We start from the raw sequence: 16,800 nt of genomic DNA, 5'->3' as shown, positions 1-16,800 counted from the left end.
CCCAGCTCCTACCTCCCGGCAGCCTCTCCAGGCCCAGAACTTTCTCCAGTCAGCCTCTACAGACCAAGCTCATGACTCACAATGGCCTATTTAGGCCCATACCCTATGTCACGGCAGCCTCCGCAGATGAGGCTACTGCCTCACAACAGCCTCCACAGGCACAGCTCCATCGTTACAATGGCCTCTTTAGACCCAGCTCCTGCCTCCCAGCCTTCTCTCCAGGCCCTGAACTTTCTCAAGTCGACCTCACCAGGCCCAGCTCATGCTTCTTTGCAGCCTCTCCAGGCCCAGCTCCTGCATCTTGGTGGCCCCTCCAGGCCCAGCCTCTGCCTCCCGTCAGCCTCTACAGTCCCAAAGTCTGCCTCACAGCAGATTCTTCACGCCCAGCATCTACCTCACTGTGGACCCCCCAAGCCAAGCTCCCAACCTTTCAGCAGCTTCTACACACCTAGCTCCTGCCACCCAGTGGCCTCTTTAGGCCAAGCTCATGCTTCACAAGGGCCTTTCCAGGCCCAACTTTTGTCTCATGGCAACCTTCCCTGGCCAGATTCCTGCCTGTCTCCCAGCAGCCTAGACAGGCCCAGGTCTTGCCTCACACTGGCCTCTCTACATCCAGCTTATGCCTCACGGTGGCCTCTCCACGCCCAACTCCTGTCCCAGGACGTCATCTCCGGGCCCAAAACTTACTCAAGTCAGACTCTCTAGTCCCAACTGCTGCCTCCTGGTGGCCTATGAAGGCCCAAAATCTCCTCAAGTTGACCTGTCCAGGCCCAGCTCCTGCCTCCTGTCAGCGTCTACAGGCCCAACCTCTGCCTCATGGGGGCTTCTCCAGGCCCACCTCTTCCTCTTGGCTGGGTCTACAGGCACAACTGCTGCCTCACAACAGCCTTTTTTGGCCCAGTTCCTGTCCAGCTCATGGCGGCCAATGTAGGCCCAAAACTTCCTCAAGTCAAACTCTCCAGGCCCACCTTCTGCTTCCCGGTGGCATCAACAGGCCCAGCTTTGACTTGAGAACAGCCTCTGCAGGCCCTGCTCTTGCCTCCCAGGGGCTTTTTCCAGGCCCAGCTCTTGCCTCATGGCAGCTGCCCCAGGCCAAATTTCTGCCTGCCTGCCAGCAGCCTCAACAGGCACAGCTCCTCCCTCACAGTGGCCCATTTAGGCCCAACTCATGACTGTGAGTCCATTTCCAGGCCTAGTGCCTGCCTCGTGGCTGACTCTTGAAGCCCAAAACTTCCTCAAATCAGGCTTTTGCCCAACTTCTGTCTACTGTCGGACTCTACAGGTCAGCCTCTGCCTCACAGTGGACCCTCCAGACCCAGATGGTGTCTCACTGTGGCATCCTCAGGCGAAGCTCCTGCCTTTCGGCAGCCTCTCCAGGCCCAGCTCCTCCTGCCTCCCAGTGGCCTCTTTCGGCCCAGCCCAGCTCATGCCTCCCGGCGGCCTTCCCAAGCCCCGCTTTTGACTTTCGGTGGCCTCTGCAGGCCTCGACAAGGCCCAGCCTCCTGCCTCCCGAAGGCCTGCACAGGCCCAGCCTCTGCCTCACAGCGGACTCTCCACGCCCAGCTAGCTGTTGCTTCACTGCGGCCTCCCGAGTCCAAAGCTCCTGCCTCTCGGCCGCTTCGGCAGGCCCAGCTCCCGCCTGCCAGTGGCCTCTTCAGGCCCATGGGGCTCATTCCTGACAACAGCCTTTCCAGGCCCAGTTTTTCCCTTCCGGCGGCCTCTCCGGGCCCAGAACCTCCTCAAGTCGGCCTCTCCAGACCCACTTGCACCCTCCGGGCGTTCTCTCCGGGCCCAGCTCTTCTTCCTGGTTGGGTCTCCAGGCCCGATTCCTGCCTCTCAACAACCTCTTTGGACTCAGTGCCTACCCATCTCCTGGCGGCCTTGGTCGGCCCACAGCTTCCTCAAGCCAAGCTCCCCAGGCCCAGGTCAGGCCTCACGGTGGCCTCTCCAGGATGAGCTCCTGCCCTCCGATGGCATCTCCAGGCCCCAAATGGTCTCCGGTCGGTGGGCTCCTCCACGCCAAGGTTGGGCCTCCCGGCGACCGCCGCAGGCCCAAGTTGTCCTGAAGTCAGGCTCTCCCGGCCCTGCCTCCCAGCAAGTAAGCAAGCTCTTTTGGCTCAACTCCTGCCCAGCTCCCAACCGCCTTTGTAGGCCCCGAACTTTCTCCAGCCAAGCTCTGAGGGCCCACCTCCTGCCTCCTGGTGGCCTGTACAGTTCTAGCACTGGTTGGAGAACAGCCTCTGCAGGCCCCTCCCTTGCCTCCCAGGGGCCTCTCCAGGCCCAGCTCTTGCCCCCACGGCGGCCTCCCGGGGCCAAGTCCCTGCCTGCCTCCCAGCAGCCCGCGTGCGGCCCAGCTCCTCCCTCACGGTGGCCTGTTGATGCCCAACTCATGCCTCTGGCACCCTGCCCAGAGGCGTGAGCCCCTGCCTCACACTGGCTCCTCCCACGCTGAGAGAGGTCAGTGTGAGCCCTTGCCTCACACCGGCCCCTCCCACGCGGACAGAGGTCAGCGTGAGCCCCTTGTCTCACACCGGCCCCTCCCACGCTGAGAGAGGTCAATGTGAGCCCTTGCCTCACACCGGCCCCTCCCACGCGGACAGAGGTCAGCGTGATCCCCTGCCTCAACAGGCCACCGTGAGGGAGGAACAGGATCGCACTCGGGCTGCTGGGAGGTAGGCAGGGACTTGGGCCTGGGAGGTCGCGGTGGGGCGAGAGCTGGGCCTGGAGACTCCCCTGGGAGGCAACAGCGGGGTCTGCAGACGCCCTTCTCCAGCCGGAGCTGGGACTGTTCAGTCACTGGGAGAAGGGATGTGGGTCTGAAGAGCTTGGTTGCAGAAACTTCGGGGTCTACAAACGCAGGCGGGAGCTGAGCCAAAAGAGCTTGTTTGCTGGGAGGTGGGAGATGCAGCCAGGAGGAACAGCTGGGCAATGCGGGAGGCAGAGGCCAGGCCTCCTCAAGTTGGCCTCTCAGACCCACTTGCAGCCTCCCGGCGCCCCCTCCGGGCCCAGCTCTTCCTCCCGGCTGCATCTCCAGGCCGGACTCTGGCCCGACTCCAGGTCCCAACAACGTCTTTGGACTCAGCTCCTGCCCAGCTCCCAGCGGCCCTGGTAGGCCCACAACTTCCCTAAGCCAAGCTCCCCAGGCCCAGCTCAGGCCTCGCGGTGGCCTCTCCAGGCTCAGCTCCTGGCCCTCCGATGACATCTGCAGGCCCCAAATGGCCTCCGGTCGGTGGGCTCCTCTAGGCCCAGCTTGGGCCTCCCGGCGGCCTCTGCAGGCCCAAATCGTCCCGAAGTCAGTCTCTCCAGGCTTAGCTCCAGCCTCCCGGCGGCCTCTGCAGGCCCAAGTCGTCCTCAAGTCGGCCTGGAAGTGGGCCTGGAAGAGCAGCAAGTCGGCCTCCCTGGGCCCAGCTCCGTCCTCTCGACGGCCTCTCCAGGTGCAAAACTTCCTCGAGTCAGCCTCTCCAGGCCCAGCTCCTCCTGCCTCCCAGTGGCCTCTTTCGGCCCAGCCCAGCTCATGGCTCTCGGCGGCCTTCCCAGGCCCCGCTTTTGACTTTTGGCAGCCTCTTCAGGCGCAGAACTTGATCTCCAGTCGGCCTTTGCAGGCCCGGCCTCCTGCCTCTCGAAGGCCTGCACGGGCCCGGCCTCGGCCTCGGCCTCACAGCAGACTCTCCACGCCCAGCTAGCTCTCGCCTCACTGCGGCCTCCCCAGTCCAAAGCTCCTGCCTTTCGGCCACTTCGGCAGGTCCAGCTCCTGCCTGCCAGTGGCCTCTTTAGGCCCAGCTCATTCCTCACGTCGGCCATTCCAGGCCCCGTTTTTCCCTTCCGGCAGCCTCTTGGCCTCTAATTTGTTTATCTTTTGTGTATAAATCCCAAAATATTGAATTTTGGAATATTTCCACCATTATGTAAATATTTTGATAGGTAATTTATTTGGAGTGAGTTTCTGCGCCAAGCCCGAATTTTTTATTTTATTTTCCTTATTATTTGGTGTTAAACAGGTTTAATGACGGTCATGGCAACTTTTTGGCACAATGAAAAATATCGCCCACGATCAACGTGTTCTGTTCTGGGGAAGGGGGCAAAGGCAGGGTGAATCACTTTCTTAAAAAGTATAGCTCAAGTTGGGAGTGCAGAGGGAATGGGGAGAAAACCCTCCCGCTGCCTGTGTCGAAGTGCAGGAGCCCCCACCCCCATACTCACCTGAGTCCAGCCCCTCTGGGGAAAGAAGGGGTGCATGAACTCCCCCTAGTCCACAGGCGCCTCCCTGTGGCCCAAGGCCCTCTTCACACTCCATCTTGTAGCCCCAGCAGGAGCTATTTTCCGAAAAGTGAAAAGCTCTGAAGGTCCCACAATTCATGGTATGTACAGGGGCTCGGAGGAGGGAAACTGCCCAGCTTTCCCCCGGCACAGCTGCAGGGGTAGGGGGTATAGATAAGAGGAGCAGGCCTTGGCCAGGCGTGGTGGCTCACGCCTGTAATCCCAGCACTTTGGGAGGGGGAGGCAGGCAGATCACGATGTCAGGAGATCGAAATCAGCCTGGCCAAGATGATGAAGCCCCGTCTGTACTAAAAATACAAAAATTAGCCGGACGTGGTAGCGTCCACCTGTAATCCTAGCTACCCGGAAGGCTGAGGCAGGAGAATGGCGTGAACCCGGCGGGAAGAGGTTGCAGTGAGCCAAGATCGCACCACTGCACTCCAGCCTGGGCGACAGAGCAAGACTCGGTCTCAAAAAAAAAAAAAAAAAAAAAAAAAAAAAGAGGAAGGCCTTACTCCGTCCCAAACTGAAAGGATTAAATGGCTTCACCTGGGAGAAGATAACCATCCTGCCCTCCATTGCTACCCCCACATACTGTCCATGTTCTCAGGGGGTACTGTGAGTCCTGGGATCTTTGGGGTTGCCCACCTGCCTGTGGTAGTTATGGAGACCCCCAGGTGTTGAGGCAGGGCTGGGGTGTCCCCTTCCAACCAGGCTGTCAAGGCCCCAACTCTGGGGCAGAGGCAGTGGCAGGGCAGCCAGGGTTGTGCCAGAGCCTGAGCAGGTTGAGGTGGGGTCAGGCAGGGCTGGGAGTCAGGGCAGGGGCAGCAGCAGTGGACCTGCTATGCACACATCTTCTTCTCCAAGGTTTGTGTGCAGAACATCCTGCCCATGCTGCCCCAGCAGCTTCAGTTGGCACCTGCCTCAGTCCAGCCTCTGGGAACCATGCAGCAGCTCCCAGCGGCCCTGCACCCACCACCAGCATCCGTTTCACCTGCAGTTGAAGATCCGTGAGGTGCCCAGAAGATCATGCAGTCATCAGTCCCACGGAGCAGCCTGCGAGGCTGAGGCTCCTCCCACTGGACCGCCCCCCAACTGGCACCACTGCTGCCCCTGCCCCTACTCTCAGCCTCACGTGACTCTCGGGCAGAAGCAGTGGTGGGGCAGCCAGGGCAGCGTCAAGAGTCTGAGCCAGGTGAGGTGCGGTCAGGACCCCCACAGGGCTGGGAGTCAGGGCAGGGGCAGAACAAACCTTGGAGGGGAAGATGTGTGCATAGTGGGCCTGGAGGGCGGCTGTGGCCTAGTGGACAGGAAGAAGCAGTGGGCCTGGAAGAGCTGCATGATCAGGGCCGGCACTGGTCCAGGGTACGTGCAGTGAAGAGGACAGCGCCTTCTCGGTCTCCGGTTCCCTGAGCCTGTCCTCGGCTTCTCCACCTGTACAGGCAAAGGGGAAGCTGTCCCCATCACACATGGCACACTTGGGGGTGTTGGGCTTTGGACTGCAGCTGGAGCATCTTCTCATCTTGCATTTGGGCGCGGTGGGGTCCTCCAGTGTGGGATCCATGTCCGTGGGGTTCCCTCTGCCCCGACCCCGAAAGCCCAGTCAGTTTCTCTTCAGGCTCTGCCCCCCGGGTGGCTCAGCCCAGCTCCTGCCTAGGAAAGCCTTAGTGTTGGGAGGGACCCTGATGACTGAGGAGCCTGGTAGCTCCAGGTCACCCACACTTTCAGGTCTCTTGCACCAGAAGGTGGCAGGATCCATTGGGAGGAAACAGGCCACCTTGGAAGGCGTCCCTGGGCCCCCATCCCCAGGGGTTGGGGCCGTAGGGGGCCCGCTCTGCTGCGTTGACCAGACTCCTGGGCTTTGAAGGCTCCTGGGCCCAGTAAGAAGGAGGTGGGTGCCAAGGTTGAGGAGGAAGCATCCGAGTATGTGTAGGAGGAGGACAGGGTGTGACCATAGACTGCCAAAAGCTGCAGGTGGATCGGGGGACCCTGGGGGCTCAGGATCCAGCAAGGGGCGGCAGGAGTAAAGGAGGAAGGAATGACAGGTGCAAATACCTTCCCACCAAAGCCCTTGTTGCCCTCTGGCTCCTCCCCAGAGTTGTCCCCACTCTCAGTCGGTCACCCACTCCTTGAACTTGAGATCGGTGTCGGTGGTGCTAAAGCCATCATCAGCAATGACATCATCACCCCCTCCTCCTCATGGATGACCGTGTGCTCCTCGTCACTCGCTATGACCTCGCTGGCCATGTGCTGGGAATGAGCAGCTCACGTGGGCGGCAGCAGGGCTGCCCACGGGTCACCTCCCTCACCAGGGGCTGCAAAGTGGCCTGGAGCTCCATGCTGAGTAGAAGGCTTTGGGCCAGAGTATGATGCAGTGCCAGACACCACCTGTGTCAGTTCCCGTAGTGCCTGACGGTCTATTTCCCTGCCGTCCAGGCTGTGTACCCCGCTGTGGGAGAAGGCTTGGGCCAGGCTGAGCCAGGTTCCCTGACTGTGTGCAGCCGTTCTGCCCCATAGAAGCTGCTCCTTGGTATCCGAGCTCTGGAGTGTTTGGGCTGCAACTGACAGGAGTTCAGAGGACACCCCAGGGGCAGTGGCAGTGCCCGTCTCTGATATGCTCCGCTCCCACGAGCCCTTGTTACACTCCTGCTAGCCCCTGGCTTGTGGGCTTGGCCTCTGAGCTGGACTTCTTTCGGTCCTTGTTGCAAGTGGGCCACCTTCACCTGGAAGGCCAGGTTGTATTTCTGCATCTCATTGGGCCCCAGGGTGTACCACCGCTCGCTCAGCATCTGGCTGACGGTCCGGTTATCCTGGTTGGGGTGACCCTGGTGCGCCCCGCCAGGGCCTGGTGCCGCCTGCTGAAGATCATGAGCGCCACTCATGGGCCACCGGATGTGGTCCTTGTCTGATTTGTTGGGGCTGCGTCCATCCTTCTCAGAAGATGAGTCCTTTTCCTTGCGCAGGGCACTGAGGGACTGGGCCTGACATCATCTGAGTGGTAGAGGCAACTGGGTGTCAGGAGACATGATGGAGAGGAAAGCATCATCATGGTCATTCTCTGTCTCACTGTCCAGCAGGGACTCCCCTGAGGGGCCCAGGGCTCCTCCTCCATGGTGGGAGGTGAGCTTTTACCAGGTTCCACCACCCCCAAAGTGTGTGGGGTTGCGGGCCCTGGGCTTTCAGGGCAGGTGGCTCCAGGGGGCCGCCCAGGGTCAACACTCCCTGTCCCACTTGGTGGACGCTCATGAGCAACGGCTGCCAACTTGGCAGGTTGTTTTCTCTGGTTGGAGGCCAGAGACTCTGAGTGACTGGCAGGTTGCTGGGCCTCGTGTGGCTGCAGGGAGGGGTCAGGAAGGGGATGGAGTACCAGGAGAACACGGCCGAAGAGTGACCTTCCACATTCCTCCACACGAACATGCTGACGCCACGGGAGGCCTCACTGAACGCAGGCCTGGGGGCCGAGCACTTGGTCCGGGCAGGGGGTTCCTGGCAGGGGCTCACACCTCCTCGCCCCCTCCTCAGCCAAGGTGGCTTGGGCCCAGAGAAGGGGAGGTTGGAGAGGAGCAGAAGGCCAGGCCTCAAGTTTTGTTTTTTTTGTTTGTTTTGTTTTTTGTTTTTGAAATGTAGTTTGACTCTTGTCACCCAGGCTGGAGTGCAGTGGCACGATCTCAGTGGCCTTCATACCTGGCTAATTTTTTGTATTTTTACTGGAGGTGGGGTTTTGCCATGTTGGCCAGGCTGGTCTTGACCTCCCGACCTCAGGTGATCCACCCACCTCAGCCTCCCAAAATGGGATTACAGGCATGAGCTACCGCTCCCAACTTCATTCATTTTTACTTGAAAAACTCCGTTAAGCATTTTTTTAAGGTAGACCTAGTGGTCCTGAATGCCCTCAGCTTTGTTTGTCGAGGAAACACGTTATTTCTTTTTCCTTTCTGAAGGACAGCTTTGTCAGACATAGTATTAGTTGCTGGCAGTTTTTTTCTTTCAGCACTTTGAATGTATTATTCGATTCTGTCCTGACCTGCAAAGTTTCTTTAACTTTTGACTATTTGATTATATTGTGACTTGGTGAGTATCTATTTGGTTTGAACCTCTTTAGGAATCTTTAAGCTTCATGGATTTAGATGTCTAAATCTTTCCCATGATTTAGGCAGTTGTCAGCCATTCTTTAAATAAGCTTTATTCTCCTTTCTCTACTTTCCTTCTCAAACTCCCATAACCTGACAATGGTTTGCTTAATGGTGTCTTGTTGGCTTTCTTTTCTCTGTCTCTTTTTTTTTTCTTTTTGAGACAGAGTCATGCTCTGTCACCCAGGCTGGAGTGTAATGTGTGGTCTCGGCTCACATTGCACTCCAACCTCCGCCTCCTGGGTTCAAGCGATTCTCCTGCCTCAGCCTCCTAAGTAGCTGGGACTACAGGTGTGTGCCACCACACCCGGCTAATTTTTGTATTTTTAGTAGAGATGGGGCTTTGTCATGTTGGACAGGCTGGTCTTGAACTCCTGACCTCTTAATCTGCCTGCCTCGGCCTCCCAAAGTGTTGGGATTACAGGCTTGAGCCACCACACCCAGCCTTCTTTTCTCTCTTTTATTCTTTTTTTCTCTGTCCTCTGACTGGATAATTTCGGAAGATCTATATTCAAGTTTACAGATTCTCTCTCCTGTTGAAGTTGACTATTGTGTTATATCACCCAGTCTGGTCTTGAACTCCTGGGCTCAAGCGATCCTCCCACCTTGGCCTCCCAAAGTGCTGAGTTTACAAGCATGAGCCACTGCATCCAGTCAGTCCCAGCACTTTGGGAAGCTGAGGTGGGAGGATCACTTGAGCTCAGGAGTTTGAGACCAGCCTGGGCAACGTACTGAGAACTTGTCTCTATATTAAAAAAAAAAAAAAAAGTCTTTGGGAGGCCAAAGCGGGAGGATCACCTGAGGTCAGGAGTTCGAGACCAGCCTGGCCATCATGGCAAAACCCCATCTCTACTAAAAATACAAAAATTAGCCAGGTGTGGTGGCACACGCCTGTAGTGGTGGTGCATGCCTATAGTCCCAGCTACTCAAGAGGCTGAGGCAGGAGAATCACTTGAACTGGGAGATGGAGGTTGCAGTGAGCTGAGATCGCACCAGTGCACTCCAGCCTGGGCAACAGAGTGAGACTCCATCTTATAAAAGGAAAAAAGAAAGAAAAGAAAAATTCCATATCTGAGTGTTTACTCCTGAGTTTTTGAGATTGTTATTAAGATCGTGCTCTACTGTGATGATTTGGGTTTGTTTGATAATCAGAAAAAAAGCGTATTCTTTTAGGTGTTCAGCCACACTGCTTTGGTGTCACAACTGCACATTGGTTTCACAGCTGCAGGACAAGTTCGAGCATCTTAAAATGATTCAACAGGAGGAGATAAGGAAGCTCGAGGAAGAGAAAAAACAACTGGAAGGAGAAATCATAGATTTTTATAAAATGAAAGCTGCCTCTGAAGCACTGCAGACTCAGCTGAGCACCGATACAAAGAAAGACAAACATCGTAAGAAGCAATAGTTTCTCTTACTATTCTGAGAGCCTTATCATTCTACATCCCATCTTCCTGTGAGTTTGTCTTTGTAGCATTTAACTCTAATTGCAGTTCTCATTTTAAAAACTGGCTTGCTTATTGTATATTTTCCCCAACTAAAGCGTGAACTCCTAGCAGGGCGTGGTGGCTCATGCCTGTAATCTCAGCACTGTGGGAGGCCGAGGTGGGTCGACTACCTGAGGTTAGGAGTTCGAGACCAGCCTGACCAACATGATGAAACGCTGTCTCTACTAAAAATACAAAAATTAGCTAGGCGTGGTGGCTGGGACCTGTAATCCCAGCTACTTGGGAGGCTGAGGCAGGAGAATCACTTGAACCCTGGAGGTGGAGGTTGCAGTGAGCAGAGATCTCACCATTACACTCCAGCCTGGGTGACAAGAGCAAAACTGCATCTCAAAAAAAAAAAAAAAAGGGGGTGAACTTGAAGGCAGGTCCTGTGTCCATCTTTTCAGATTCTGTATCCCAGCACTTAGGACATAGACAAACACGAAGATGACAATCAATATTTGCCAAAATGAAAAAACAAAAGAAACATGTAACATCATGTAAAAGAAGCTGGTTAGGTGGAGAAATTTATTTACCATAGTCTTGCTTGTGGATCCAGTAGTGACTTTTACAGTTTGTATCTAAATAGAAGCTGGAGGCTTTGTTGGGGACTCATAGGCATAAAATATTATTTATTATAGAGTTAAATGCTACAAAGACAAATCTAATTAATAGGCCTATTTTCCTTTTTAAATTCTACTCATAATTTCTTCATAGTTTTTATGATAAAAGGTTGGATTTTGATTAGAACTCCCATGATTTTGTGTCAGAATTAAAACTGGTATTAGAATAAATAATTCAAAAGCTAGAGAAAGAGTACAAAGAGAAGCCATGAGTTGCATTTGAATTATAATATTATGTCTTACAGATTTGGGGTATATGCTAAAGTTACCAAAGTTGTAGAAAATAAGGCCGGGCATTGTGGCTCACATCTGTAATTCCAGCACTTTGGGAGGCCGAGGTGGGCGGATCATTTGAGGTCAGGAGTTTGAGACCAGCCTGGCCAACATGGTGAAACTCCGTCTGTACTAATAGTACAAAAATTAGCCAGGCGTGATGGTGTGCACCTGTAGTCCTTGCTACTCAGAAAGCTGAGGCAGGAGAATCGCTTGTACCCAGGAGGCAGAGGTTGCAGTGAGCAGAGATTGTGCCACTGCACTCCAGCCTGGGTGACAGAGTGCTATGAGTCACCACACCTGGTATGAGCCACCGTGCCTGGCCCACAATGACTTTTACACATGTTGTTAAATCATCTTACAGATTTTATAATTTGGGGGAAGAAAAGTTTTACTAAATTGTCTTTTAATGGAAACTCTACAAGAACCAGAATCTTTGCTTTGTTCACTTATGTATCCATTCCTAGGCCTAGAAAAATGTCTGACACATAGCGGCAATTATTCATTGAATAAATGGACCCAGCGATAGTACATTAGCTATGCTATATGCATACATTAAAGATGTAGATTATCGACTTTCAAAAGATAATTAATGTAACTTCTTACTGCTTCTGAACATGTTTGTGAGTTATATTGCTGAGGGACCTTTATCTTCTCATTCTTTCATCTTAACCCAGTGTTATAAAATTGAAATCATCAATATTATTCCATATCTAAAATTAATATCTACCTTGTAAAAAATATCACTCTGCTGCATTTGAGAATAGACTTTTTAGGTAATAATGATGCAATCCATAGGGTTTTTTGGGGGCACAGAGGGATTCATGCTAACAGAACATTTTATTTTCTATTTTCCCAGAGCTGTAAAACATGAAATTACGGTAGTATAAGGCATATTTTTACTTTTTATAATTTTTTCTAAAAAAAATTAGTGTTTGTTCCCTATATAACTTTTAACTTTATAGGTAAATATTTGTTTCTTTCAGCTCCAGTTTTATGTGAAATAGAGTTTTCAGATTTATGTAGCATGGAAAGTTTTAATACGTCAGAGTTACTGATTTTTGCCAATCATTTTCTCAATTATTTCTTTTTTATCTTTAGTTGATTTTTTTGTAGTGACACATTTTGTTTCTAGTCTCATTTCCTTTTGTTTATATTCTATATATATTTCATTTTTGGTTACTATGAGAATTACATATAACATCCTAGAGTTATAACATTTTAATTTGAATTTATTTCAACTTAAGTTCAATCACATACCAAAATTCTACTGCTATATATATAGCTCTACTCTTTTTATGTTATTGATGTGACAAATTATATCTTTATTCATTGTATACCAGCTAACAGATTTACAATTACATTTTATGCATTTGCCTTTTAAATTATGTAGAAAATAAAAAGCAGAGTTACAAACCAAAATTACAATAGGACTGTTTTTATGTTTGTTTATGTATTTACCTTTACCAGAGAGCTTTGTATATTCATACAGCTTGCTTATTTACTTACATAGTTATTGCCTAGAGTTCATTTATTTCAACCTGAAGGACTTAACACTTCCTGAATGTCAAATTCAGGGATAAATGGATTTTTTTCAGTTTTAAAAAAAAATCCGGAAATGTCTTAATTTCTCCTTCATTTTTGAAGGATAAGTTTTCCAGCTATATATTTCTCAATTGACAGGTTTCTTCATTATTTTAAATATATAATCCACTGCCTGCTGGCCTTCAAGGTTTCTGCCGAGAAATCAGCTGCTAATGTTATCTGGATCCCTATCTGTGAGAGTTGCTCTTCTCTCTGAGTTTTCAACATTCTCCCATTATCTTTTTTTTTGTTTGTTTTTGAGACAAATAATTGTACATATTCATGGGATACAGAGTGATATTTTGATACATGTATACAATGCCCAATGATCAAATAAGGATAATTAGCATATCCATCACCTCAAATATTTGTCATTTATTTGTATTGTGAACAGTCAACATTCTTTCTTCTAGTTTTTTAAATTTATAAACATTTAAATTTTATTACAGAAATTTAAATTTTTTGATTCTGAAAAAGTCATATATGTATGCAACATTTTTTATCATTTATTTATATATTTATGCATCTTTCCTTTTAGTTTTGACAGAGATTTTCTATTTTATCATTATTTCAAAAGAACTCTTACCTGTATTTATTTATCAAGTATATTTCCCTTGTTTTTTCCTAGTATATTAATTTATTTACTTATCTTCTAAAAATCCTCCATATAATCTGTTTATTTTGTTTCCTTTCTATAATTTCTTCAATAATTAGTTCTGTTCTATTTTCCATTAAAATATTTAAATCTTGTATGAATTTTTGTCAGATTAGAAATTTAGGGCGTTTCTTAATTTCTCTATACTCTAGCTTTTGACTTTTTTTTTCTGACCTAAGAGGTATTTAGAGCACATTTTAGATTTTTTATTTTGACTAATCATTTAAAATGTATACTAATCTTCAATTTAAATAAAAAACTGGTCTATAGTGACAAAAATTACAAATGAGCCTAACTAATAAATTATCAGCTGTGTTTATATGTATAAGCATGCACAGATTTTGGTAAATATGTACATAGTATATTGGTGAGCTTATTTTTATCATTCTTAACTCATTGTGTAGTCTAAACGTTGGGGAAAAAATAAAATACAATAATCAGATGGTGTGAATAAGAAAATTGTTCTAATGTTTGTAAACCAAGCAACTGTTTTAACTGCTCCCCTCTTCCTGATTGACTTCTAAAAGGGATTGATCCATATTGGGTCCTATCATATACGTCACGGTATGACATCTCCAGCTATAAAATGGAAATTTGAGAATAACTTTGCTGCTACTCAGATACATTTTATTTCAAAAACATACACTAAGGTGTTGCTGTTGGATCTTTCCAAAAACATATTCACACAGAACTTTCAATCACACTGAGCCATATTTGAACAATCTTTCAAGGTCAGCTCTGGCATAAGCTAACATTATACCATTTAACTCAGAAATTTCTTTAGTATTTGATTAATGGGTTTATGTTTGATATGTAATGTAATTTTCTAATGCTAAATCAAGTGGTAATTTTGTTAGTCAAGTTGATTTAGTGGCTTGGGAAGAAAGCTTTTAATGTTCCCCTAATTTTTCTTACCTTTGACATGATCCTTCACATGTCTTATTTTGCTTAGTGATTTTTCTTTTTTTTTTTGAGACAGGGTCTTACTCTACCACCCAGGCTTGAGTGCAGTGGTGCAATCACAGCTCATTGCAGCCTTGACCTCCCAGACTCAAGCTATTCTTCCACCTCAGCCTCCCAAGTAGCTGGTACTACAGGCACATGCCACCAAACTTGGCTAATTTTTGTATTTTTTGTAGAGACAGAGTTTTGCCAAATTCTCAGGCTGGTCTGGAATTTCTGGGCTCAAGTAATCCTGCCTTGGCCTCCCAACATGCTGATATTACAGACATAAGCCACAGTACCTGGCCAGTTTTCTTTTTAAAAAAATCTATTGGTTATTAATTTGAAGCCTTCCTTTTCATAGCTGTGCTCCTTAATTGGGAGCAAACATGAATGGACCACAACTTAGCCAATTTTCTATATACGATCTTTGCCATCCTAATTTAAAGGAATATTAATTCTTTCTTTTCCTCTTTCATTCCACAAACCTGTATTGACTACATCTAAGTTCTAAATGGTGCACTGGATGTTGAAAAAGTTGATGATGAGCAAGAACAAAATTCCTGCTTTCAGGAGACTTACAGTTCAATATGGGAAATATAATTTGTTAAAATATAAAAGTGCAATTGTGTTACATGCTGTACGAAGTACATGTTGACATGTGAGCATATAATAAATGGGCTGGAGGCCAGAGGATTGCCAAAGAGAATGGGCCTCCTGCTGAGATGAAAAGTTGAGCAGGGATTAGTTGGCGAAAGTGGAGGGACGATCCTTTCTAGGCAGGAGGAAGAACATGTACAGAATCTCTGAGGTGTGATGCGACAAAGTCTATATAAAAAACTGAAGAAAGGTCTAATGTGGCTTAAATACAGAAGCTAGTAGGAGAGGAGTCGAAAAGAGGCTGGAGAAGTAGAAAGTGTCTGCATTCTGCAGGAACTTATATTGTATAAAAAGAATTTCTCTTTATTCTAAGTGCAATGTGAAGCCAATGAAGTGCTTTAAACAGGTGATGTGATTTGATTGAATTTATTACTTCACTTAACATATATTCATTACATGCCCACTGTTTGTCAGATATTGCTGTAGCCCCTGGTGATACAGTAGGGAATAAAACAGGCAAAAATCCCTGTCCTCTTGCAGCTTATAATGGACTGCAATGTTTAATATGTCAGAGGAGGTCCACGGAGGAGTGACTTCTAAGCAAGAATCTGAAAAAAATGAGGATATCTAAGGAGGGAACAAATGGTTCAAAAGCCCTATAATTGCAAGCAGGCATGATGAAGCAATTGCAGTTGTCCTGACTCTCAACACCGTGGAACTCAAAGGAGATGGAAAGATTCCTTCTCTCCCTCATATATTTTCTCTCTTTCTGTCTATATATATAGAATATGAGACATTTCCCTAATCATTATGTGTAATTACAATTACATATATATATGTAATTGTAATTACACATAATGATTAGGGAAATGTCTCATATTCTTCTATGTAATTGTAATTACACATAATGATTAGGGAAATGTCTCATATTCTTCTACTCAGAAATAAGCAATATAGCAATTACTGTTTTTTACATTTTACAGTTACAGTTTCAGAGAAAGTTTGATATTTATCTAAAATTTTTCAATGTATGAACTTTTTCATTTGACAAACCATAATTGTACATATTCTTGGGATACAGAGTGATATTTTCTTTACATGTATAGAATGTGTAGTGATCAAATCAGGGTAATTTCCACTAATTTAAAATGCCACCTTTATGTTATTGTAATTTATATATATACTATATATATACACACACACATATATATATATACATGTCCACATACAGTGTGTGTATGCACATGTACACACATGCATATGTGTATATAATGCCCAGTATAAGCAATGTGCACAAATAAAATTAGCTAACAGAGATAGTATAGAGTGAGAGGAGAGGCAGATTAATCTTTGAGGAAAAGCACAATTTTATAGCTGAATGGAGAAAGCTGAGGTGGTTTCTAAGATGGAGAATAAGACGAAAAATGTAAGTACGTTGTTTGACTGAATTCAAGAAAGAAGGGTAAAAGAGAAGAAAGTAGTGGTCTTATCATTAAATGCCACAGAGAGGTAAAGATAAAGACAACATGTTGTTTTGGGTTTAGTAATTTAAGGGTTACCAAATTCCGTTTTGGAGGAGGAACAGATTCCATGTCCACTAGAATGGAATGAACAAGAAATGGAGGAGGAAAATAGGTAGTTTTTCAAAAGTTTTCAAAAATATGAAAAGAAGAAATGAAGTGGTACTTGGAAGAGATTGTTGAAATGGGAGAGACTATGGTGGCTTGTTTAGAAGCAGTTGAGATAGATCCAATTGAGATAGAGATTGACTATATAAACAAAAGAATGACAAATTAATAGTGTAATGGATAACTTGACTTTGGCAAATATTGTGAATTTTTGTGAAAGTACAACTAAAAGGCAATGTCACTCCAATAATCACCAGAGTAATCAATTTGCTTATTGCTGTCCCTTTAAATATAGTTCTCTGGTATCAACTAACATGTTTTTAACTAATGATGCTTCTTAAAGAAAAGGGAAAAGACCTTTTTCTTTCTTTCAGTCTTCAATGATTCACTGCTTCATCTCGCTCCACCAAAGATAAATGAAATCTACATCTCTTATACATTAACAATGCATGACAATTTACAAATAGCTAAATTTTTGGAGCTAACTTTAAGTACCTGAATGGAATTTAATCAACCCACTAATCTCCTTCTCACTTCTCAGTTATTTATCAAGTTTATGTCAAGGGACAAGGAAAAATTATCCAAACATTGTTTAAAACAATCATCATTAATTAGTAACACTTA

The 16,800-nt window shown here is 47.5% G+C and overlaps 1 protein-coding gene, 1 long non-coding RNA gene and 2 pseudogenes across 2 annotated transcripts in view; 3 read left to right on the top strand and 1 right to left on the bottom strand.

The window, feature by feature from the left end:
* LOC100288069 (uncharacterized) overlaps positions 1–4,051 on the top strand; it is a 52,876-nt gene extending 48,825 nt beyond the window's left edge. Inside the window, exon 20 of the long non-coding RNA NR_168328.1 lies at positions 6–4,051. This is a non-coding gene — a long non-coding RNA (uncharacterized LOC100288069). The remainder of the gene's footprint in view (positions 1–5) is intronic.
* On the bottom strand, positions 3,988–7,764 carry CICP3 (capicua transcriptional repressor pseudogene 3; annotated as a pseudogene).
* SEPTIN14P14 (septin 14 pseudogene 14) lies at positions 9,608–12,189 on the top strand (annotated as a pseudogene).
* The window catches only part of OR4F16 (olfactory receptor family 4 subfamily F member 16), a 44,026-nt gene continuing 36,934 nt past the window's right edge, over positions 9,709–16,800 (top strand). Inside the window, exon 1 of the mRNA XM_024449992.2 lies at positions 9,709–9,778. The gene's annotated coding sequence lies outside the window, so the exon portion shown is untranslated. The remainder of the gene's footprint in view (positions 9,779–16,800) is intronic.

This window comes from Homo sapiens, chromosome 1 (assembly GCF_000001405.40).
Source record: "Homo sapiens chromosome 1, GRCh38.p14 Primary Assembly".
NCBI classification, from domain to species: domain Eukaryota; kingdom Metazoa; phylum Chordata; class Mammalia; order Primates; family Hominidae; genus Homo; species Homo sapiens.
This window is presented reverse-complemented; position numbering and strand designations above follow the sequence as displayed.